At 44.0% G+C, this 26,173-nt stretch overlaps 1 pseudogene, besides 2 other annotated features; it reads right to left on the reverse strand.

Annotated features, from left to right (window-relative positions):
- Positions 697 to 1,896: an enhancer, noted in NCBI's record as "MED14-independent group 3 enhancer chr7:50894096-50895295 (GRCh37/hg19 assembly coordinates)". NCBI's record gives its function as "activates an origin of replication core promoter dependent on BRD2, BRD4, P300/CBP and CDK7 cofactors, and independent of MED14, by STARR-seq in HCT116 cells {active_cell/tissue: HCT116}" and the evidence as "EXISTENCE:reporter gene assay evidence [ECO:0000049][PMID:35650434]".
- Positions 12,577 to 13,776: an enhancer, noted in NCBI's record as "CDK7 strongly-dependent group 2 enhancer chr7:50905976-50907175 (GRCh37/hg19 assembly coordinates)". NCBI's record gives its function as "activates an origin of replication core promoter dependent on BRD2, BRD4, P300/CBP, MED14 and CDK7 cofactors, with strong dependence on CDK7, by STARR-seq in HCT116 cells {active_cell/tissue: HCT116}" and the evidence as "EXISTENCE:reporter gene assay evidence [ECO:0000049][PMID:35650434]".
- Positions 17,689 to 18,080, reverse strand: RPL39P23 (ribosomal protein L39 pseudogene 23; annotated as a pseudogene).

The raw sequence follows: 26,173 nt of genomic DNA on the forward strand, positions 1-26,173 counted from the left end.
GCAGAAAACAGGTGCTTTTCGTGAGTGAAAGCAGGAGGCTGAAGGCCCACTGCACTTTTCTCGTGGGTGATTTGGGGTCTCTAACCAACACCTAAGGCAGCAAGCCATTTCTCCTCAATCCCTGAGTTACTCTGGTAAGGGAATCAAGTTTGCACTGCTTTTCATACTTTCCCCCACTAAATTTTATTATTTCCCTTTTGTTGGTTCTTTCTCTCTCAATTCTCTTTTCTAAGCTGACTCCATTTCTTTTCTGGAAATTTTCAGTATTGTGGGGCCTGGGTATTAGGGATTAGGAACACTTGCAATCTGAAAGCCTGTGTCTTAGGAAGGTGTATGCAAAGGGAATAAGTGGAGGGGAACCCCCTGTGAGCTGTGCAGACCAGAACAGGTTTTTCTCCTAAGGTAAGGGTGTTCAAGAGGAAAAACAATGTGCAGATATTAACTCTTCCTTGAAAGTTTGTTATGTAGAGTTAAAGATTGCAGATTACAGGCTTTAGAACCAAACTGCCTAGGCGCTAATCACACACTCAGAACCACGTGACTATAGATAGTCGCTAAACCTCTCAGATTTGGTAGCCTCATCCATAAAATTAGCGTGGTAATCATAATAGCAGATACCTCAATGTTATTGTTAAGATTTTTAAAAGTTAATATATGCATAGCCCTTAAATCAGTGCCTAGTATGGAATGGGTAATCACTGTTAATTTCTCAAACTTTTTATTTTGGAATAATTTTAGATTTAGAGAAAAGCTGTAAAGATAATACAGGGAGTTTCCCTATACTCTCCATCCAGTTTCCTGTAATTGTTAACATCTTACATATCCGCAGCATGTTTGTCACAACTATGAAATTAACACTGGCACAATACTACTAACTAAACTCCAGACTTTTTTTGTATTTCACCAGTTTTTTTCACTCATGCCTCTTTTCTGTTCCAGGATTCCATCCGGGATCCCACAGTGCATTTAGGCTGTCTCCTTAATCTCCTCCCATCTATGCCCATTTCTGGGACTTTGTTTCTTTTTCAAGACCATCACCCTTTGGAGGAGTGCTGATCAGGCATTCTGGATGATGTGCATCGCTTTGAGTTCGGCTGATGTTTTCTGTGATCGATTGGGGTTATGTTTTGGGGGTGAGTGCCATGGGGTGAAGTGCCCTTCTCATTGCCTCGCCTCGGGGGCACATGACTTCACCATGACTCAAGTCTGGTGATGTTAACCTTGAGCCCTTGGTTGTGGTGGCATCCGCTAGATTACTGCATTGTGAAGTTGCTATTTTTCTCTTTCCATACCCTTCTAGAGGAAGTGAGTCACCAGGTCCAGTCCACACTCACTAGGAGAGCAATGAAGCCCCACCTCCTGGAGAAGTGGCTGCATCAATGCTCCCCTGTATTACTTGTGGTGCTTCTGTGAGAAAGATTTGTCTCTTTTTCCCTATGTATTTGCTTATTCACATGTTTACTTATATTGGCATAGACTCATGGATTGTTCCAGCTTTGGCCATTGGGTACTGTTTCAGGATGACTCCTGTGTGCTTTTGATGTGTTCCTATTTTTTAAAGCATGTCCTCTGATGCTACAGGATGCTTCAGGCTGATCTGGAATTTCCCTTAATTCAGTTATTAATTCAGCCATAGGATTGTATGAGGATGCATGACACAGGGGACTTTTATTGTTTGGTCTGTCCAGGATCCCCCATCCCTGGAAGAACTCATCTCCCCATCCCTTGTGGTCCTAGGTTGTCCATCAGCACACCACCCCCAGTGGGCCACAGGAGGAAGGACTGATGCAAAGGGTATGCATTTCCACAGGGCCAGGAGGGCCTCCCTTGAGGTGGCTATGTGTATGTTGGGAAGGAGAGTTTCACTTTCCCTGTGCTGCTAAACTGGGAAGCTGGTGGTGGCCATCTTCCCCACTTCATGAGAGAACTTGCCTTCAGAAGAAGCCAATACAACAGGAGGCAGAGCTGACCTTGAGAGAGAGCCCTGCCTGTATGACAGCACCTCCCATCCAGCTCTTCTTGACACTCTTCAATGTTCCACCTACATGGACCAAGACACTCCAATTGCTTTTTAAGCTCATTGTGCATATGACTACATGAAGTACCTAGCATGAGGACCACATCTTTCTGCCAGTCCGGCCCTTCATAGAATTTACACCCCACCTACTTCGATGGACACCAAAATATAATCCTCACACTTGACCTAGACACACCCATTATGCTGATTGAAACAAATCAAACTTTAAAAGCACTTCAGAAGACTACTTTTTAGAATCTAGTAATCACCCTTGATTTATGCTTTATGCAAAATTACACAGATTTTTAATGAATTTTTGCACAAATCTAAGTATAAATACAGATGCTCCTGAACTTACAATGGAGCTACTTCCCAATAAATCCATCATAAGTTGAAAATATAGTGAGTTGAAAATGCATTTAATACACCTAACCTACTGAGCATTGTAGCTGAGACTAAAACATTCTCAGAACACTGACATTAGCCTACACCTGGGCAAAATCATCTAATCCAAAGCCTATTACAAAAAGTGGAGAATATCTTATGTGATTTATTGAGTACTGTACTGAAAGCGAAACTAAGAATGGCTGTATAAGTACTCAAAGTACAGTTTCTACTACATGTGTATCACTTTTGCACCATTGTAAAGTTGAAAAACCTTAAGTTGAACCATCGTAAGTTGGGGATTATCTGTATATCACTTTAATAAGGCGAAAACAATACTACAACCTAATGATCATAAAGATATAGTGGAATAGGTACATTTATATAAGTAATAGAGTAAAAGGTTATACAAATCAACATCCATAAAATTGTGGGATTTTTGATCTAATAATCTCACTTGTGGATGTAACCTAAGGAATTTAAAAAAGTTTTTTTAAAGACAGATTCATAAGTTTTTTGCAGTCTGATTATTTAATAGAGAAATATGGGAAACAATTTATGTGTTCCACAATGGGGTCTTTTTTTTTTTAAGTGAAACCTTAACTCTTTGAAATGTTATATGATTTTTAAAAATTATAAACATGAAGAAACTCAAGCAAGATAATGATATTTATTATGGAGGCTGCATTACTCGGGACAGGTTAAGTTATTATGACTTAGAATAAGGGCCCCCAGGAGTGTGTGGACAGAGGAAAGGGATGTGAGGACATGGTGAGAAGGCAGCCGTCTATAAGCCAGGAAAAGAGCCCTCACCAGAAATGACACTACCTGCACCTTGTTGATCTTGGGCTTCCAGCCTCCAGAACTGTGAGGAAATAAATTTCTGTTGTTTAAGGCACACACAGTCTGTGGTATTCTATTCTGGAAGCCTGAGCTGACTAACACATGGGCAGAGAGGTACAAGCCTAGCATACCTCCGGAAGTGAAAAATACTGGAAATAATTGATGAACAGCAGTGATGTCTACTAAAGAGGATGAAATAAAAACAACAAAGAAACAAAATAACAGAATACATCCTTGGTGACTTAATAGCTGTATAATATAGTTTCATTTCTCCCTGGCCTTTAATACTATATCTTGTAAATGTTTTATTGAGATACAATTCACATACTATAAAATTCACCCTTATTGAGTGTACAATACAGTTAATTTTTTAGTGTATTCACAAAGTTATGCAACCCTAACCACTGTCTAGGTCCACAACATTTTTATCACTCCAAAAAGAAATGCCATTAACAGTCACTCCTCACTTGCCTCTCCTCCCAGCCCATGGAACTAGTTGTCTACTTTCAGGCTCCATAAGTCTGCCTCTTCTGCACATCTCACGTAAATGGAACCATATAACCTCTCAGCTCTGTCTCATCAAATTATGGAGTCTTCTGGCATGTGGGTTCCTCCCTCTGCACTGTTACCTGGGAGCTCTTTCAAGAGAGGGGCAATGTTAAGGCTTGCATGGTTTGCTTCCTGCCTCATGGTGATCACTGTCCTGCATCAGGTGGTGTCTAGTATCTTGAAAGCTGATGGTGTTTTTAACTTGTTTTATTGTTGTTGTTATTATTTTCATCAAGAGGATAAATGTGATACCTGTTACTCTATGTTGGCCCAAAGTGGAACCCTACATTGCATTTATACATTTTACACATTTTGCTTTCACATAAGACTGTTTGAATAGTGTGTTCTTCAGCTCGGCTACAAAGTTTGAACACTTTTTTTTTTTTGAGATGGAGTTTCACTCTTGTTGCCCAGGCTGGAGTGCAATGGCATGATCTTGGCTCACTGCAACCTCTGCCTCCCATGTTCAAGCGATTCTCCTGCCTCAGCCTTCTGAATAGCAAGGATTACAGGCATGTGCCACCTCATCCGGTTAACTTTGTATTTTTAGTAGAGACAGGGTTTCACCATGTTGGTCAGGCTGGTCTCGAACTTCTGACCTCAGGTGATCTGCCTTCCTCGGCTTCCCTAAGTGCTGGGATTACAGACGTGAGCCACTGCACCCGGCCCAAGGTTTGAACACTTCAGATGTAGAGCTGTGATCACAGTAAAGAAAATGGAGGAGGAAAGAAATGGAGGAGGAAAGAAGAGACCTGGATTTTATTTTTTTATTTTATTTTATTTTTTGAGATGGAGTCTTGCTCTGTCGCCCAGGCTGGAGTGCAGTGGCACGATCTCGGCTCACTGCAACCTCTGTCTCTCAGGTTCAAGCAATTCTCTGCCTCAGGCTCTTGAGTAGCTGGGATTAGCCACCATGCCTGGCTAATTTTTGTAGTTTTAGTAGTTACGGGGTTTCACCATCTTGGCCAGGATGGTCTTGAACTCCTGACCTCGTGATTCACCTGCCTCAGCCTCCCAAAGTGCTGGGATTACAGGCATGAGCCACAGCGCCTGGAGAGACCTGAATTTTATTGTATACAGTCCATACACAAAACTCGGGTGCAACTTATCAAACTCCAATTCATCTTCCAAACTTTCTCTTTCAGAAACACTTCCTATATGAGGTCTTCCTGCAAATGTCTGCACTGCCCTCAAATTAATCATTCCACCTTTGTATCATTTTGTCCAGTTTCAATATCTTGTGCATATTTGTTATTGCTTGTATTATAATTATTTTTGGCCTCATTTTTGTCTTCTTTGACTGCAAGCTCCATGAGGCTAGCAGAATGTGTTATATGTGTTTGGTCTGCAGACTTACCGTGATACCTGGCTCACGGTAATTGTTCTATAAATATTTTTTGCACTAAATTGTATACATATCTTTTATTTCACAAACTACGTCCATTATGTAAGCAAGCTAGTTTTCCTTCTCTTTTAGTAGGAAGAGGGAAAAAAAGTGAAAAATATCAAATGTTTTGCCTAAGATGAATGATCAGGAAATTGGAGACAAGGACGGAAACCCAGCCAGGGCTCTAGGTCTTCCACATCATTTGCTTCTCATGAGCAGTACTGTCCAGCAGAAACTTCTGTGAGGATACAAATCTTCTATATCTGTGCTGTCCAGTATGGTAGCCACTAGTCTCATGTGGCTACTGAGCACTTGATCAGTGTGACTGGGGACTTCCATACTTAATTTAAACTAATTTAAACCTAAACCTAAATAGCTACATGTGACCATTGGCTACCATATTGGACAGCCCAGCTCCATACTGTTGAAGACAGAGCCCTTGTCTTTTTCAACCCTTGAACTGCACATGCTCAACAGAAAAGAAGTTCTGAACCTGAGGGGTTTTTTGTTGATTTCTGAACAAAGAAGAAATTCAACAAAAGTGTCCAACCAATAGTTTTGCCAAACAGAAAGAAGACTGTCTAAAATAAAAAAAACCAAGATGAAATTTAGGAAAAGTAGATTAAAAGATCAACAATAAAAATGATCAAGTAAATAAGTGTTCTTAAAAACAGCCATGAATTTCAAGCCTTGGCAAAGAGTAGTTTGACCTTGAGGTTCTCTGTTCCTAAGTGACTTCCATGGTAAGCGTGGGTATGATAAACACACACACACACAAACACACAAACACACACACACACACACGAAATTGGAGAGGAGGAGGAGGATTGGAACCCAGCCAGGGCTCTAGAGCCCTAGTCTCATGACTTTCACATCATTTGCTTCTCATGAGCATTATTGTACAGCAGAACCTTCTGTGATGATGAAAATGTTCTGTATCTGTGCTGTCCAATATGGTAGCCACTAGTCGCATTGGCTAATGAGCACTGTATAAATACAGATATAGGTATAGACATATGTACTCTTAAAATCTCTTCAATTGAATTGCCTCATACTCCACTTAAGGGGCCATCCATGTTAAAGGTAAGTTATGGCCTCAGCAATGATGGCCAAGCCATTCTGATCTCCTACAATGTTGGGGAGATCTCCTTTGCCCTGCCCAGCTTGTCTGTCTCCTCTTTTTGAAGGGCAGTGTGCTGCCCTTCAAACGGTGCTGCCATAACAAGCCATGTGGCTCAAACAAGAGAAATGTATTGTCTCGCAGTTCTGGAGGTGAGAAGTCGAAGATCCAGGTGTCGGGTTGGCAGGGTTGGTTCCTTCTACGGGTGCTGAGGGAGGTCTGTTCACATGGTGTGGGGAAAAGAAAGGATAGCAGGGGGTTGCCATCAGCGTTGAGGGTGTCTGTGAAGCCCACACTTTTTCCCACTGTGGGGATGGGCTCTGCGCATATGACATTCACCTATCTTCTGTCCAATGTGGATTCCTGGGAGAAATTCTGGAATACATTAGCACTGGAAATTCAGAAATAGGGTGGAGAGAATCTGGTCAGTCTGAACGGAGGACCATGAACTTGAGGCTTCAGGGATGGTTGTATTTAACCAAAGAGGGTGTGGAGAGACTGCGGGGAGCAAAAGCCAGCCCGAGTTGCATTTCCTGCTCCCTGTTTCCGAATTTCACTTCTATCTGAAATCTGCACGTGTGTCCTTTCTTTGGGTTTGTGGAGATCACCCAATATCCTGCCCAAAATTCCATTTTTTCTTGCCCAAAGTCATGTCAGGTGGAATAGCCTTTTGCAACTGCAAGTCTTGGCTGAAACTCAGAAGCAGACAGGGCATGGAGCACAAGAATAGGAGGGTGGAGTATCCTGGACAGTGAGCACCTGCTCAGAGCAGAGATTAAGTTTGAGAGGACTGCTCCTTTTCTCTCCACACCCCCAAGCAAGCAGTAGGTGCCTTTCCAAAGAACAGGTATTGCTCCGTGGTTTCCAGACCAGCTCCAGTGAGTAAGACGAAGCTTTGTTTATCATCACTTCCCCACCCAAACCACACTCAAATAAGCAGTAAAAACCTCGAGACCTTAGTCATCAGTTGAGGTAAATTATAAACTTCTAAGAGTGTGGCTTCTCAGAGATACCACATTTTCCTCATATAATGAGCCTGCAGTTTGTGGCAAAGAATGACTTAAGAACAAGTGAACTCACTGTCTAAAAGGAGAATTTTTATCACTATCAATTGCTCTATGACTGACAGGGCTGTTATTTCTTTTGGTAGCAGAAAGGGCTAAAGTACAGAGAGAAACCCTAGAAATAAACACGGCCTGCGTAATGGCAAGGTTTTGTGTTGCCAAAGTCAAAAGAGCGCGTTCCTGGGTAAGAATCCTTACCCATCTTGCCCCATTCACTGTGATTCTGTAGCATCCAAATCAGTTACAAAAGCAGCCATGGCTGTGTTGGGCTGGGAGGCAACAGTGGTTGAAATACTGTCCTTGTGATAAAGGAGCTCAGAGTGGAAGAAGACGACACTGGCAAACAGAGCATGAAGATTCCCCGTGAGAAGTCCTCCAGATGGAGGAAGTCACGAATCACTTCATGGACACGAGGACCAATGGATTCTGCCTGCACAGGTCACAGAAGACTTCCCAGAAGAGCGGACATTTGAGGCAGATGTTACAGGATGCATAGGAATTGCCAGGCACAGGATGGGGACAATGTTGTAGTCAGAGACTGCGTGGAGGCTGGAGAGGGCATGGTGGGCCCAGTTAGTCACTGGCAATGTGGCCTGGCTGGAAGGTGGGGTATGAGAGGGGGCTGGTGGGAGGGAAAGCCGAAGGACAGGATGGGACTGGGTCACAGTGTGTTCTGGCTGGCATGGCGGGACCACAGAGGCGTCACCACATTTCTAAGTAGTGGTTGATATTCCAGATCTCAGATTTAGAAAATCATTCTGGCAGAAACGTTAAAGATGTATTTGGAGGGTGCTGGCTGCCGGGAGATCCAGTAGCGGGTTGCTGCAGGAACCCAGGCGAGGTATCACAACATGACTTTGAGAGGTGGTCTGTACTTCTATCTGGTTTTGTAGAGCAAGGAGGAAGTTCAATAAGTTTCCATTTTTAAGTGTTTGCCCTGCTGTTAATTTTGTATTGTTACTAGTAAAATTGTTAGAGGCAGCAGCAGAAGGCACATTGCAGATGGCAGAGATATTTTTTCACAGCTTTTATGGTGGATAACAATATATGTGACATTTTCCTCATTAATGTGAGCTTTGCTGTATGATTAAACATGCTAGGCATCTGTGATCTAAAATTACAAATGTGAAGAGCAACAGCTCAAATGTTTCAGTCAATAAATATACAGGAGACAGTCAACATGAAACAACTCCCCCCTATGCTCTCTTCCAGGAGGAGCTGCACTGACGGTGACAGCATTTTTGGCAATGGCTTGGCCTTCATCCTAAGGAAAGCAAGGGAACTGAAATCCCAGACTGCTAATTACACCCTGAGATTCCAACAGAAGAGAGTGGTTTCCATTAGGAAATCTCAATGCTAAGTGCCAACAGGGCTGGAGAGGGAATGGAGGCTTTACTGAGGAAATTAGGGAATTACTGAAGGGAGCCATGGAGGAGAAGAATTTCACTCCACCATTCAGACACAATGGAGAAGTGTGTAAGGTCAGTGGACACATCCAGTGACCAGTAGGCAGGACGCCTACATCTTTTTGCTGAGGGAAGTCTCCCCATTGCATGTGAGTGTGTGAGTGTGCGCACGTACTTGTGTGTGTGTGTTCTGTGCTCCCAGCTAAAGTAGAAGAAGATTCTTGAGAACTCGCCCTCTTCCCACATACTGATCACAGAAGGTGAGAAGCTTTCCCTTTTCTTAACTATTCTGATCTGTTGGCAGAGGCACCTCGAGTCACCATCGAGAACGATTTTCATGCCTGAATCAGCTTAATGGCTGGGGATGCCAGGTTGCTCAGTGATGTCTGGCATGGGTACAGAATCAGGAGTGGATCAGGGCTTCCGTTCTGACCATATGGACACAGTCAGAAAATAGGGAAGTGCAGATTCCAAAAGAGTAAAGAGGATTCAAATCAGTAATGATAGAGAGTGGAAGAAGAAGTCCAGATAAAGAGATTCTGCCAAAGCCATGGAATAAAAATGAGGCTTTTGCTCATGCCGGGTACATCTCCACATTCTGGAAAAAACATGGCATGGTGTGTGTAACGTCCAGTGATGAGGGACTGAGAGAACAATCTGGAGTTGCGGTGGTGGAGAGGAGCGGAGTGTGACATGGTGGTTGAGAGGAGAAAACCAGGGCTGATAGGATTAAGCAGTAGAATCAAGGCCACAGGAATAAAATTGGAGCAAAGATATTCACAACTCCATTCACTCACAATTACAACCCTATAGCTGAGTCATGTTGATATGAGATTTTATCTCTTTTGGGGCATTAGAGCCAGGCTGCTGCTCAGAAATCCAAATTCTCCAGCATTGGCATCAAGGTGCCTGGGTTTGTTTGCTCTGGTCGCCATAACAAAGCACCACAGCTGGGGGACTTCAACCACAGAAATGTATTGTCCTGCAGTCCTGGAGGCTGGAAATCCAAGATCAAGGTGCAGGCAGGATTGGTTTCTCCTGAGGCCTCTCTCCTTGGCTTGCCTTCTGTCTGTGTCCTCGTATGGTCTTCCTTCTGAGTGTGTCTGTGTCCCAACCTCTCTCTTTATGAGGACACCAGTCAGATTGGGTTAAGGCCCACCCTAATGGCCTCATGTTACCATAATTCAATCACATTCTGAGGTCTTGGGGATTAGGACTCCAACATATGAATTTTGGGGGACACAATTTAGCCTTTAACAGTGACCTCAAGACCCTGTGGGTGAACTGATGCCCCACCTCCCAGTGCTTATTCAGAATGCTCACACCGTCATGATCCATGATCATTCTTCCCTGCGCGGGAGATCAGAGCCTAGAACTGAGATCTCTGATAACGTCTCTCCATTGCTGGAAGAGTTCATTGGGCTGTGACTGACCCTCCAGACCTCTAGGAATCAGCCAGCAGGTGACACATGTTGTCCTGACCTTCAGTGAATGCTGCCTGAAGGATGGGGGGTAGGAACAATAGAAGTCTCCCTTTCTCCCTCCACATACACTCAAAAATTGAGCATCTCAAAGGGAAGGGCCAGGCTATCCTCGACTGGGTGGGAGTTTAAGCCATCACAGCCATGTTCCTCCAACCTGACCTCGTTCTCTCCTACCTCACCCCAAATAATCCAGCAAGAGGTGAATCTAGGTGCTTCTCCTTGTGTCTGCTCATGCCTTGTAAGTAAGGGAAGAATGACAGTGACATGCTGCCATGCTTTCAGGCACATTTTTAATGGGTTCAAGTTTCCACTCATCAGTGGCTTCATCTTTATCCTGTGGCCAGCTCCCTGAGGTAGGGCTTAGCCTAGCCTGTGACCAAATGGGTCATCTTGAGTCTATCAGCTCCTGAGGTCTAAGCTGAAAACTTATATGTGAAGTCCCATTGGCTTTCAAGGGAGGCCGAACTTCTATGATCAAGTTAATCATTCGCTTTGCCTTGTTTCAGACCAGTGAGACCCCAAGAGGACAAGACGGTCAAGAGGTGGAATTTGCATACCAAAATCCACCCTGAATCATCAACTGTTCTGTGGTGATTATTTTATAGGTTTTTGTGAAGATTAAATCAGATGGCATATGTCAGGTGCCTGGAATGTGCTGAAGCTGGCACAAGATACATGTTCAAATTCCCTCCATCCCATCTAAGGACACGTACCTGTGGTGAACCATAGACCCTGGTCACAGCTTTGCTTAGGGACAGGTCTGTCCAGCACCAGGAGGTTCAAGCTCAGAGAAAGAGAAGGGAGTTGGCCTAGAAATCCCAGCAGTGATTGACAGGAGAGACCCCCTGGTGGGTGGGACTCCATCACATGTGCCAGTTTCCAGGTGTCTGTGGCAGAAGGCACAGAAGGAACCCACAGATGGGGTAAGAGTGCTGGCTCCCTCCCACCCTTGTTCATGTCTATCTAGGCTGTTCTCTGCACAGCAACCTGAGTGGGCCTGTTATGTGTAGCATGTCCCTTGTCCACTAAAAACTCTCTGATGATTTCCCTTTATCCTGAGTGGAAACCAAAGTCTTTACAATGGCTCGTAAGTCTCTCCTTGATCTTACACCCCTTGATCTCTCTGACTCCATCTCCTATCCCTCTCTGCATTGCTATGCCTGCATATGCCAGGTAGGTGCCCACAACTTGGCCTCTACATGTACTCTTTCCTCATCCTCTAACTTCCCACATGGATGATGGCATGGTCACCCCCTTCCTGCCCTGGTCTCCACTCAGATGCCACCTTCTCAGTAGCCCTCCCTCGCCATTTTCTGCTTTATTATTTTTTTTTATCATGGCACTTATCCTCAGCTAACCTGGAATCATCAACTGTATAGAGCTAACACACTCTATATATTACTCATATATCTCTTGCTCATTTTGTTTCTGTGATTTCTTCTGCCTTGAAAATAAACTCCATGAGGGTAGGAATATTTGACCTTTTGTCTACTTTTAGTGCTGTATCCCCAGTAGTCCTGGCACATAGTCAGCAAACAAAAATTGAATGAATGAAATAAATGAATGTCCTGAGAAGAGAGAGGCTACCATCCCCAACCTGCCCTATTAGCCCGTCCAGCTGCAGATGGAAAGACCTCAAGTCTAACTGCAGCCAAGCTCATTGCAACCAAGTAGGTGCAGGTTATACAAGCCCCATACCTGTGCTAAATGGTCTGTATGACAGCAGGAAGCAGAACCCGGGCAAAAGTAACAGGAGCTATTTACTGGAAAACTGTAAAAGTAATCATCATATGAATGAGGTATCAGGAAACTAACAATTCAATGTATGCTCATGGACCAGGGTTGGGAATAAATGAAAGAAATAGAAGGCCTGCCAGAGATCCCCGAGCACACGTTTAAAAGAAAGAAACTGCAAAATTGAATGTGGTGATATCATAGAAGTAAGACCATAAAAGACTATAAAAACATAACCTCACTGTGGGTTATAAGATTCTTGGACATCATTAAAAAGAACCATGAAAATGGAGCTACTTGGTAGGGATCCAGTTGGAATAAGAACTAAAGTGGTCTCCCTCTGCCTCGATGTCTGTGACCAGAGGCGGTCTCTCTGAATGGAGTATGTGCAGCGGATGTGAGTGAGTGCGTGTGAAGAAAATTTCCCAACAGCTCATTCAGTGCACGGGGAAGACAGTTCCATGAAGGCAAGGCCTGAGTGTCTCTTTTGACTGCTTTGTTCCCATTGTCGGCTCAAAGCCGGACGTGTCACTGACGCTTAGTCAATGTTTATAGAATGAGTTCATACTGAAAATCAGACTTCATTGCCATCGGTGCCTTCTTTCCTGAGCTGTTTCTCAAGGGCTCCAATATGGAGAATTCTTCCTGGCTCCTTTGACATTCTAAGAAGTACGTGTGTGTGCCTGTGTGTGTGCACATGCAAGAGTCTGGAGTTCATTTTAGGGCCAAGAGCCTGGTGTCCAAGCATCTAGGTTGGTCTCTTGGCTGGTTGGTTGTACTTTGCCTCCACAGCCAGCTTTTGTCAGTGAGAGAAAAATGGCACAGGAGCCAAGAGTTAGGTTCAAATTTCAGTTCAGCGGGGTCCTCTCTGTGTGACCTCAGACAAGTTACTGCATTTCTCTGGGACTCCATTTCCTTACCCATAATGGAGAAGTGAGGGTTCTTCTCTCGTAGGGCTGAGCTTGGGATTGAGTGAGGCAATCCAGGTAAAGTACTTAGGCATGTGCTTGGCACTTGAGAAGTGCTCGCTAAGGGGTTCATTCTTATGTTCCCTGTGAAGAAGGCAAAGGAGAGGTTATATAAGATGAGTCCACTAGCTCCTCTGTGCAGGCAGAGCAGAGAAGGAAGAGATGAGACTTGTCTTACAGGTGGAACTTGGAGTGGGTCAGGATTTGATGTCTTCTGGGAACAGGAAGACCGTATGAAGTTACTTCCAAACACATCAGACACTAAAGGAATGAGCCAAGACCAAGTCTATCAGAGACAGCCCGCTTTCAAATAGGGAAGGATGGGTAAGTTGAAGGAGCCCGACATACGCACCAGGGTCTAGGTGATAAGAGTTCAGAGTTCAGGTGGAAATAGAGCCAAGAAGCAGCCAGTTTTAGAACGGAAGGGAGGTGGGTGGAGGGGCTGGGCCTGAGCTGTTGCCTCGAATGCCGTCACCTACTGGCTCCTGGCGGGCTTGTGCTTGAGTCAGAATTACTTAAAAGGTCAGGGACAGGGCACACAATAAAATAAAACAGCAAGGCAGCCCAAGGAACTCTCTGGTGAGCTCAGATTTAAATAGCACATGAATAAAACGGAGAGAAATGGCATCATATTCTCTGGGGAATAGGAGAGGCATGTGAGTTTATGACAATAGCACTAGGAAGACTAAGGCCTGATGTGTACTGGGGTTACAGAAACTCCTAAGGCAACAAAAAGAGCTAGGAGAGAAGAACAAGGATGAAGCAGGTCTGTGGCTTGTGGCCTGTAGGGCAATCAGGACAGATGGCGAAAATGACACACACACAAAAACCAGATGACAACAACAACAACAACAAATAAGACAACTCTTTCGCCGTAAGTCAAGCAGAACATTCCAGCACCATGGTGTGGGGAAGATGAATCCCATGGAAGAACGAGCAGGTCAGGGAGAACCTTCCTCCAAAGCAGCTGCTCTCAGGATGCATCCTTGTGATGAGTTTTGTGGGACCTGCATGGAATTGCAAGTTTAAAGTGGAAACCAAATATTTTAAAATCCACATGTTTCTTCTTTTAAAACAAAAACAAAAGAACCCTGGCATTTCTGGTGTTTCTTGCAAAGTTAGGCAATTTGGCAATGTTGGGCACTTCTTCCTGGATGGCAAAATCGGATGGGTGCCGCTAACTTTCAATGGGTGTCACCAGTTCCTCACTGTCTCCCTCCCACCCACCACCCATGCTTGGGTCCTATAGACATCTGAGTTTGGGATCCCTGATATAAGTGCTCTAAATCCATCCAAGTCTCCTGACATAATCCCCAGGGACTGAGAGACCTTGAAATTGACAACATTGAACTTCTGTGGATGATCTGGAAGGAATCCTAGAGAACCTAAGTGGTGCTATGAAACTGAAAATGAACAGTATCATTGCAATTCTCAAAAACAACAAAGAGAGAGAGATTCTATGGAGAAGATGGAGAGATGCTCTGAGCAGAAATATGATCAGGTAGATTTTTAGGTTTCAGCACCAAAGGATAATCCTGGAATGAAGTTTCTAGGACTATGGCAAGGGCTATATCCGCAAACCTGACCTTCTTTTCACCTTTTCCCCCAATGATTTGGAGAAAGATAAGGAAGTTACAAATATCAAAAAATGTATGTAACACAAACCTGAAAAGAATCATTCAAAGTGAACAACTGTTATTGGGCTACAGTCCCCACCCCACTGTCCTTGTGCAGGCTGGCATGGGTGGGATTATAGAACAGCACATGAGCATAAAAATAGAGTTAGGGTTTAGATCACAGCAGGTAAGCAAGATTTAATCATGTGGTTGCCAAAATGGCCAATCTGATCTTCAGCTGCTTGATTAAAATTGTAATACCTAGAATGAGGAAAAAATTTCCAGTCTACTGGGGACATATGTCAACCACAGCACAGGTGTTCATTTCAAACAGTTCCTTTCTGCTTTTTATCCCAACTTTTTATTATAACAAATTTCAAACATATAGAAAAGTTGAAATTATACTACAATGAACACTTGTATGTTTACCACATAGAAACAACAGTTTTTAACAATTTGCCGTATTTGCTTTATTCATTCATATGTGTGTATGTTAGAATATATGTATATATCTGTATATGTTTGTGTATGTGTGCATGTGTGTAAGAATATGCACTGTATGTGTATGTGTGTATATGTATATGTGTACATTTTTTCAGAGCAATTTAAAAGTAAATTGTAGATATCAAGGTACTCTATCCTCAAACACTTTTAGCCTACATCATCCAGGAACAAGGACACCTCTTATATAATCACCATCCTACCACCATGAGCAAGAAGATTGACAATAATTCCTAAATATAATCGAACATTCGGTTCATATGAAAATTTTCCCAGTTGTCTCTAAAATGTCTTTTATAGCTATTTGAGTCAGTTCTTCAATAAGTGAACTAAATCTACTTTCTGGTTTTTTTTCTTTCTTTCTTTCTTTCTTACTACTCACTCTGGCAATGAATTGAGTAGATCATGGTACAATTCACTGAGAATGGCAGTGTAGGGTGAAGAGCAAGTTTTGAGAAGGAAAACAAGTTCCATCCTATGAATTCTGAACGTAGGTCTGGAGCTTAGCAGAGAAGTCAGGACTAATGGTACATATTTGGGAGCTGTCAGACCAGAGGCAGTAGCTAAAATGTTAGGAGTGGGCCGGGTGCAGTGGCTCACACCTGTAATATCAGCACTTTGGGAGGCTGAGGTAGGTGGATCATCTGAGGTCAGGAGTTTGAGACCAGCCTGGCCAACATGGTGAAACCCCGTCTCTACTAAAAATACAAAAATTAGGTGGGCGTGTCGGCTTGTGCCTATAATCCCAGCTACTCCGGAGGCTGAGGCAGGAGAATCAGTTTAATTCAGGAGGCAGAGGTTGCAGTGAACCGAGATGGCACCACTGCACTCCAGCCTGAACCACAGAGTGAGACTTTGTCTCAAAAATAAACAAAATAAAGTAAAATGTCAGGAGTGCAGGAGATCGTCTAGGGACACTGTTGTCACCATCATCATCATTACCATCTATTGACTTCACAACCTGCCTGGCATTGTACTAAGCACTTATTATCAATAGTTCATTTTCTTACCACAGTCTTCTGTGATAGGTATGATTACCTTCATTTTTGTGGGAAGGACGCAGTCTCAGAGTGGCTTTGTAACTTGCCCAAGTGATCGTGGCTACTGCATCTGGGAGCTGAGCCGCCCCTCTGTCTGGTGGCACAGTCCCTGCGTGCGCTACTGTCCGGCCTGGAAAGGAGACCCAGAGATGCTTGAGCGTGGAGAGGAGGGATTTACCACAGGATCCTGGGAAGAAAAGGCCAGAGAAAACCAGAAAGAAAGGATATTGGGGAAACCAAGGGAAGAAGTCTCGAGAAAGAGGCTGTGGCGCATATTCACTCATTCCTGGATTCACTCAACAGATATTTTGGGACCTACAGTTTCAGGCACTGTGACTGGCCCAAGAGTAGGGTGATGAGTAAGACAGGCAGTCTTGCTGTGGAGAGGAGGGGTGCGTGAGCTGTTGCCGAAAGGCCGGTGTGGGAATCCCAGGAGGACAATTCCTGTGGGGACGTGTGGAGGCTGCTAGTGGCTCCTGACCAGCAGTTCCAGAGAAACAGTGGGCAGAGGAAAGGATAGGAGGCAAAGTCAGCCCCTAAAGATGGGAACTTCTGGAGGTGTGGCTGAGAAGGGAAGGAGAGATACAGTTGGTAGATGGGGAATTGGAAGTCAAAGGGTTGTTTTGTTTTCCAAAGAATGGGAGAGACTTCAGAGGGTTTCTCATTATAAAAAGGGAAGAGAGTAGGCAGGAAAAGGTTAAATATAAAGGCAAACCAAGGAATAACAGAGGGACAGCAGGAGAGATGTATAGCAAAGGCAGGGCTGCGGGTCCCAGTGGACAGGGCAGTGTACCTGTTTCTCTGAAACTGATGGGGAAGGGAGAGAAAGAAGGGCTTGCATTAGACTGTTGAAACAGGGGCCAGGGGAAGGTCAGTGCCTTTGTTTTCTTGGTAAGCAGAATGTGCGTAGCGAAGTGGAGTGAAAATAATCAAGTCGTGGTGAGAACAACCGTGATGGTTATCATCAGATTAACAATAATAGGCTGAACTCTTTGAACTTGCTGGGGTCTGATGATGTGACACCTATAAGAATGGTTTCTGGGCCGGACGCGGTGGCTCACGCCTGTAATCCCAGCACTTTGGGAGGCTGAGGCGGGTGGATTATGAGGTCAGGAGTTCAAGACCAGCCTGGCCAAGATGGTGAAACCCTGTCTCTACTAAAAATACAAAAAAAAAAATTACAGCATGTCTGTAATCCCAGCTACTCAGGAGGCTGAGGTGGGAGAATCGCTCGAACCCGGGGGGCGGAAGTTGCAGCGAGCCGAGATCGCGCCACTGTACTCCAGCCTGGGTGACAGAGCAAGACTCCCTCTCAAAAAAAAAAAAAAAAAAAAAAAAAAGAATGGTTTCTGGGGAGAAAGTTTGGAGGAGGCTAAGTGGCTGTCACAAACTCGTCTCTTCCTTCCCAACAGTGACGCCTTGGGAATCCCTTAGATATGGCCTCAAAGTACCGACCGGGGAGCCACCTAAGGCACTGCCTCCAACCCCTCTCCTGAGCCCACACACCCTGCCCTGCTCCTCATGTGACAGTCCCCATCTTCTCCAGGTCCTACAGATATGTACACTTTTTTTTTTAATGAAAGTTCTCACAAATTTATTAATGAACCCATCTGACTAGTGCAGAACATATAAACAAAGAGAAAAAAATATATTCCCAGTAAAACATGTCCAAGTGTCCAGATAATGGTGACATTTTCAGCTTGACATGGCAATGATGACCTTGATGCAGCATAAATATGTGTGCCATCTCATGTGCAATTCCTTACAGACCCAGCTTGGTTCTTCTCCAATGTCTCCTCTTGGAGTTGCACCTGACTTATCACCAGTTTTCATCTGAATCCATTGGGGAATGGGACAATTTTGCTTTTGTTTCTTGGCCAGGAATCGCTTGACCCTGGAAGTCTTGTGAGAAGAAATGGGGAGAAATGGAGTCACCCACCCACACCATGATGGCGGAGAAAGCCAGATCATGCACTTTTAAGATTCTCTGGGGCCTGACTCTGAACTCCAGTTAGCTGGGCATCCAGACAGCTTTGTGGAAAGGAGAGTGTTCTCAATGGGCCTGCAGGGCTTTTCCCAGGTAGGATGCTGCAGTGTGAGGAACGATGTGAGCATGGTCAGAAGCAAGAAGGCAAGTGAATCTGTTTGGCTGGTGAAAGCTAAGCTGCCTCCAATGACCTTGAATTTCAACAAAGGGACGTAGGCTTTTTTCTGTGGGTACAGGATGCCTGGAAACTTTGGAGAACTTGAGAAACAGTGTGGGCTTGTGAGAGCAGATCTCTGTAAGCCAGGGTGTCTGGGGAGGCTGTGGGAAGTGCGCAAGGGAAGAGAAGACAGCCCTGGTTGTGAGTGCTTGGTAGAAGGGGGACAAAGTTCCCTGTTTGTCTTATCTGCTGCTTAATGGAAACTCCAGAATTCTCTCTGCCCATTTGCTCTGGGGGAGCTCATGGCTCCCCTCCCCAGCCTGGGAGACCAGGTATCACTCACCCCATTGCTGAATTCTCACTGGACTTCTTCCCTCCAAACCAGCAGTGGCTTCTGCCAGGGGACATGTTGAAGGAAGGAAAGGACAGCTTTGCCTCCTCTCTGTCCCCACCTTTGGCCAAGCTTCTCTAGGACAATGGTCCTTCATATTTTTTACCCTCAAAATGAATTTTGAGAAACTATTTATCTTTTGTGTGTGTTTTTAAGTCAACATCTAAAATTTTTTGATAAGTTTAAGCAGTGGCAAAGGATGCCTTTTATACTAATATGTGAACATGGACATTTTAAATAAAAATAATTATATTTCTCCTTTAAAATGTAACAGTGGTGATATGATTTGGATATTTGTCTCAGCCAAATCTCATGTTGAGATGTAATCCCCAGTGTTGGAGGTGGGGCCTGGTGGGAGGTGACTGGATCATGATGGTGGATTTCTCAAAAATAGTTTAGCACCATCCCCTTGGCGCTCTCCTCGTGATACTGATTTCTCACACGATCTGGTTGTTTAAAAGTGTGTGGCATCTTCCCCATCGTTCTCCCTTGCTCCCGCTCCTGCCGTGTGAGATGCCTGCTCCCCCTTTACCTTCTGGCATGATTGGGAGCTTCCTGAAGCCTTCCCAGAAGCTGAGCAGATGCCCGTGCCATGCTTCCTGTACAGCCTGCAGAAGCAGGAGCCAAATAAACCTTTTTTCTTTACAAATTACCCAGCCTCTGGTATTTCTTTATAGCAATTCAAGAACAGCCTATGATGGCCAGGCGCGGTGGCTCATGCCTGTAATCCCAGCCCTTGGGAGGCCGAGGCGGGCGGATCACCTGAGGTCAGGTGTTGTGGGAAGTCAGGGACCCAAAACAGAGGGACCAACTGAAGCCATGGCAGAAGAACGTGGATTGTGAAGATTTCATGGACATTTATTAGTTCCCCAAATTAATACTTTTATAATTTCTTATGCCTGTCTTTACTGCAATCTCTAAACATAAATTGTGAAGATTTCATGGACACTTATCACTTCCCCAATCAATACCCTTTTGATTTCCTATGCCTGTCTTTACTTTAATCTCTTACTCCTGTCATCTCATAAGCCGAGGAGGATGTACGTCACCTCAGGACCCTGTGATAATTGCATTAACTGCACAAATTGTAGAGCATGTGTGTTTAAACAATATGAAATCTGGGCACCTTGAAAAAAGAACAGGATAACAGCAATTGTTCAGGGAACAAGAGAGACAACCTTAAACTCTGACCGCCAGTGAGCCGGGTGGAACAGAGCCATATTTCTCTTCTTTCAAAAGCAAATGGGAGAAATATCACTGAATTCTTTTTCTCAGCAAGGAACATCCCTGGGAAAGAGAATAAGCACCTGGGGTGGGTCTATAGATGGCCCCCTGGGTATGGCTGTCTTCTATGGTGGAGACTGTAGGGGTGAAATAAATCCCAGTCTCCCATAGCGCCCCCAGGCTTATTAGGAAGAGGAAATTACTGCCTAATAAATTTTGGTCAGACCAGTTGCTCTCAAAACACTGTCTCCTGATAAGATGTTATCAATGACAATGGTGCCCGAAACTTCATTAGCAATTTTAATTTCGCCCCGGTCCTGTGGTCCTGTGATCTTGCCCTGCCTCCATTTGCCTTGTGATATTCTATTACCTTGTGAAGTACGTGATCTTTGTGACCCACACCCTATTCATACACTCCCTCCCCTTTTGAAAATTCCTAATAAAAACTTGCTGGTTTTGCGGCTTGTGGGGCATCACACAACCTACCGACATGTGATGTCTCCCCCGGATGCCCAGCTTTAAAATTTCTCTCTTTTGTACTCTGTCCCTTTATTTCTCAAACCAGCCAACGCTTAGGGAAGATAGAAAAGAACCTGTGTGAGTATCGGGGCAGGTTCCCCGATAGTCAGGAGTTCGGGACTAGCCTGACCGACATGGAGAAACCCTGTCTCTACTAAAAAAAAAATACAAAATTAGCCAGGTGTGGTGGTGCATGATTGTAATCCTAGCTACTTGGGAGGCTGAGGCAGGAGAATTGATTGAACCCAGTGGATGGAGGTTGTGGTGAGCCGAGATCGTGCCATTGCACACCAGCCTGGGCAACAAGAGCGAAACTCCATCTCAAAAAAAAAAAAAAAAAAAAAAAAACAGCCTACACACAAATGGAATACAAATACCCAAATAATTTTATACCCACCATTATCTATTACAAAAACAAACAAACATAGCAAGTTCATCTTTAATGTTGGGTATGTGTATAATAGAAATTTAATGGGGTGGGGGGAGGGGGGAGGGATAGCATTAGGAGATATACCTAATGCTAAATGACGAGTTAATGGGTGCAGCACACCAGCATGGCACATGTATACATATGTAACTAACCTGCACATTGTGCACATGTACCCTGAAACTTAAAAGTATAATAATAATAAAAAATAAATAAAATAAAATAAAAAGAAATTTAAAAAAATTTTGGTGACCATAAATGTTTAAAAAATTTTTCTTTTGAATTGAGTTATACATACAGTTAGTATTAGTACACAACTGGTCAAATTAATGGACATTTTAAATGTTGATCAATAGTTATTAGATACAAAGGTTAACTTTTATCTCAAAGCCCTTGTTTTGGGTGGATTCAAAGACTTTTGGTGTCTTGATCAAAGCAGGATTTCTGCCACCAGAATTCTGGATTGCCCCTTACTTGGTGTTCTGGAGGATTTGACACCTTGGGGTATGCAATTCTCAATTTTTAAGGTGGGAGAATGTCATTGTGAGAGGATGGGGGCAATGGATGTGGGCCAAGGGCTTTGACTTTAGACTCATTCTCAGGAAGATCAGTGTCAGGAGGGCTTCAGAATTTGTAGTGAATGCCCTTCAGTTGGTTGCCCAAGGGTCTTTGGTGAGTATTCCATAGCCTCAGGTGCACTTAGCCAAAGAGAAGGGGAAGATGGACTGTGGGTGACAACAAAAACGATGATTATTTTGGGATTAATAAAAACAGGCTGACAAAGTTCAGTTAATGAATACAAAGTTATAGCTAGACAGGAGAAATCAGTTCTAGTGTTGTATAGCACTGTAGGATGACTGTGACTAACAACAATTTACTGAATATTTTTAAGTAGCTAAAAGAGCAGATTTTCTGTTTTCAACACAAGGAAATGATAAGTGCTTGAGGTGTTGGATATGTTAATTACCCTCATTTGATCATTATGCATCGTATACACATGTCAAAATATCACATTGTACAATGCAAATATGTACAATTATAATATGCTGACTACAAATAATAATAAAAGCAAAAAAAGAATTATGGGTAGTGGAGTAGTGATTTCGAAGGAGCCTGGGTCTCTGATGGTATCAAAGAGCTGCTGAAAGAAAAGTTAAACTCTTTCTTCTTGTTGAAAAAAAAATGGGCTGAGCTATTTGAACTCTCTGATGTTTGATATTAAATGTATAAAAATGATGCTTCATGTAGTCCAATCTAAAACCTCAGCAAGTTGTTACAGCAGTCTTATTATGGGCCAAGTAACAGTCTAAGAACTCAACACAATGTCTTATCAAAAAGCACCTCAAAATGATCTCAAAGAAGTAGGTATTTTCTTCCATTTTCTAGTGAGGATACTGGGGCTTAGAGAAGTTAAATAATTTGTTCAAAGTGACCTAGCTAGAAAGGTACTGAGCTCTAAATGAGTCTAAATAGATTGTAAATATGGTTACATTCATCTGGATGCATTTGTGGCATTGTTTCTAGAGAAAGCTCATCTAAATCAGAATATTCAGCCCTCATTCTATGAACTTGTGTTACAGGTTAAAAAAAACCAAACAACTTTTCCTGCTCTCCTTCCTCAAATGACTTTTATAGTAAAAATAGGATAAACCAATATGCTGAAATTCAACTTGACATCAATTGAGATAACGTAAGAAAACAGAGCCATAAAGTAGGAGCTAAAACACTAACCATAAAAGAGACCACAGTCTTTAGCCAGGCAATCATGCTGTGGAAAATAGACCTCAAAAATAACCCAAAATCTATTTGCACAGGAATCTTTATAATATAGTATTTACAAGCTGGAAATGACTCAAACACCCAACCATGAATAATAAACAAATGCATAGCATTTTATGGTTTACAAAGTACATTCACATGTCTTTGTCAATTTGGGCTGCCATAACAAAATGCCATAGACTGGGTGGCTTAAACAAGAAATATATTTACCATAGTTTTGGAGGCTGGGAAATCCAAGATCAAGCTGCTGGTAGACCCAGTGTTTGATGAGGGCTCTCGTTGTAGATGGCCACCTTCTTGCTAGGTGCTTATATGGTGGGAGGAAAGAATGAGAAAGAGAGAGAGAGAGAGAAAAAAAACTGTGCTTTGGTCTCTTCTGCCTCTTATAAGGGTGCTGATCTCATCATAGGGGCTACACTCCCATGACCTCATCCAAAGACCCCATCTCTACATACCGTCACAATGGGGTTAGGGCATCAGCATATTTTAGGGGGTGGAGGACGGAAACATTCAGTCCATAGCAACACACAATTATCCGCTTTGAGTCTTATCAGCCCTGCCAGGTGTAAGCCAAGAATGCATAAGTTCCCCAATGGGGCTTAGATGCGATGTGACTCTACAGGGAAGAGAATGGTGAAAGAGAAACTGGATGTGTGAGTTGTTCATCTTGTTCTTAACTCTGTTTTGGAGCTCCCTGGGCCTTATATTATTAGGTGACCACTTCTCACCTTGGCATCCCAGATGCATCACTCGCCTCTCCACACATGAGCTGGTGAGGTCAAACTGATCATTGAGTGGCATTTCAGGAATCTGGGTTTTTGCAGGCATTCTTCCCTTTGCCTACAACCCTCTTCGCCTTGTTAACACCTTCTGATACATTGAAGATGCAGCGTAGACAATGCCTCATCCCGAAAGCCTTCATCCTCCCCTCGAGGCTTGGGCTCCTGCAGGTCCACTCCACTGCACAGCTCACCCCCTGGCTATTGCGACCCACCTGTGCTGGTAGAGAGCAGAGCCTGGTGGTGCCAGAAGCATTTCATTGCCTGGGAGAACAGCTCTCTGTGAAAGGATGGGGCCCTGCAGGAAAGAATGGCCCCATGCCATCTGGACTTAATATTTCCCTCTTTCCCTGAAGACATAATCAGGACCGATCCTCCAGCATCCCCATCCCTGTCTTCCTCAGCCACCTGCAGAAACACAAGCCCTGCAGGGTGTCCAACATCCTCCAGCCCTGCTCCCTGTGCATGTCCTTGGCCTCCCACTGTACCCCTGGAATTCCAGGTCCAACAGTGATTCCCCTCTATCTTCAGCCTGTTCTCTGCATATCCCCTCCCTGTCCTAACAGAAACTTCTCTGTCCTCCAAGGTCTCTGCTTTCTCTGAAGCCCACACGAGAAAGGCCTTTTCTTTTCTCATACTCAACATAGCCAATGCCTAGTGGTTTGGGCTGTGTCCTCCTTGCTCCACTTTCTGTCTCTCAACCATTTCTTTCCCTTTTCTCTAAAACCCCTAGCCCCTCATGCCTCCATGCTCCTTGTTGTTACCACCCTCCTTCTTCCTCATCCTGAGGATTTCAGGGCCAGCTCCCTGTCTTCCTCTCGTCCTCTACCCCTGTCCCAGGCCTTGGTGATCACAGCCTCCATGCGGATAACCCACCCAGCGCCCTTCTCACCTCTTCACGTTCTGATTTTACTTGACTTCAGCCTCACATTCCCACAGTTGGTAGGTTTCAGTCTGGAGGCCCTCTCTCCTGTGTGGTTGCTGACTGTTGAATTGACCTAGGATCCATGGAACCCATTGCTCTTCTCTGGCCAACACAGCCTGCCCAGGTGACCTCCCGAGTTAGTTGCATGGCCATAGATGCCATCTCTGTGCCAAGGGGTCCTGTCTCCCCTCAGGCCATGACTGCTCCCAGTCCTTCCACATTCTCCCCCTCTCCTTCCCCTGCCAACTCCTACTCACCCTTCAAAGCCCAGGTCACAGTCTGTGGCAACTTCTGGAACTCCCCTGGGGAGATGTAGTTCCTCCCTTTCTGTGCTCCAGGGACACTTGTACCTCCACTAAGTTGGTCCATGGCATGCCATGTCTTTCTCTCACAAGCCCCTCAAAGGCTAGAACCATGGATTACTGATCTTTATACCAACAAGTATAGTGGAACATTGTAAAAAGACAAGTGGATATGAAGAAGATGAGTAACAAGAGGTTATGGGGTGATGTAACCCACTGGGGATTTGGTTTTGAGGGGCTCTTAGTTGAGGTGGTCCCTTTCCAACAATAGTGTTTTGGTGAAGAGTATTGTTTGGTAAATTTGTGAAGCAACTGACCCTTCAATATTGATGTGGGTAACACTTGTTAAAAATTGCAATACAACTTATTACATTTTTACCCAAAGTTGAAAAAAATATGGTAGGCAAGAAGGAAAAGAATAAGTAAGTGAAAAAATTAACACTGTTACATTCTTCCCAAGAAGAATTTAAATTACCAGGCATCCTCCTTGGTCATTTTGCTTCATGAATGACTTCTCTATTTATAGTCAATGTCCCTGAGACCTGAAAGACAGCAAAACCCAAGAATATGTCACTTGAGAATTCTGTTCCTGTGCCAGGCATGGTGGCTTATGCCTGTAATTCCAGCACTTTGGGAGGCCAAGAGGGGAGGATTGCTTGAGCCCAAGACATTAAGGCTGCAGTGAGAAATGATTGTGTCTCTAGCCTGGGCAACAGAATGAAACTATGTCTCAAAAAAATGAAAAAAGAATTTTGTTTCTAGAAATTATTTCAAAGAATTCTTATTTGTTCTATTAAGCAAGTTAAGTCCAACTCTGTAGCAAAGAGAAGGTCACTGCTGGGCATCCTATACCGTGCAAGTGTATAATTTTGTCTGAAAGTCTTTGAAACTGCCATGAGATGTAGAGAATGAAAGGAGCTGTGCTCTCCCTGGCCATCCTGAGAAAAGTTATTTAACATCCCTGGGCCTTGGCTTCCTCAACTGTGGCCATTTATAAGGTTATTAAAATTAACTTAGATAACAGTTGCTAAAATTCCTAAGGTCTGGTCTGTTGTAAGCTAAAAAAATGTTCATTCCCTATTCTATTTTGATTTAACCAGAGGTTACTCTTAAAATCTGGCATTGCCTCTTTCAAGCTCTAAACTAGATCCTCTGTTCATAGAGGAGGCATTTTCCTTACGAAGCTAGGAAGTTTCATAGTGGAGTTTTCCTGCCAACTCCTACGCACCCTTCAATGAGTAAGAGTTGTCTGGTGACCAAACACAGACACTCCTTATGGAAAACCAAAGAGAGGCTTCCCTTTTGGGCGGGGGGTGGGAAGCAGAGCAGAAGCAGGTTTCAATCATGCGCTTGCCGCTTGCCACTTTCCGGTCTATATGTGTGGTTCCATCTGTCTCCACCCCAGCTTCCCACCCCAGAGAGCAGGTGGGGTGGAAACTCTGGTCATGGGGGAGGCTTCCAGCCGTGAACATCTCACCATGACTCCTTCCCAGGGCATAACTTTCACCAACAACTCCAGCTGTTAATAATTGACTGACATTAAAATTAACTGATTAAAATGTACAGGACT

The sequence above is a fragment of the Homo sapiens genome, chromosome 7 (genome assembly GCF_000001405.40).
Source record: "Homo sapiens chromosome 7, GRCh38.p14 Primary Assembly".
NCBI classification, from domain to species: Eukaryota; Metazoa; Chordata; class Mammalia; order Primates; family Hominidae; genus Homo; species Homo sapiens.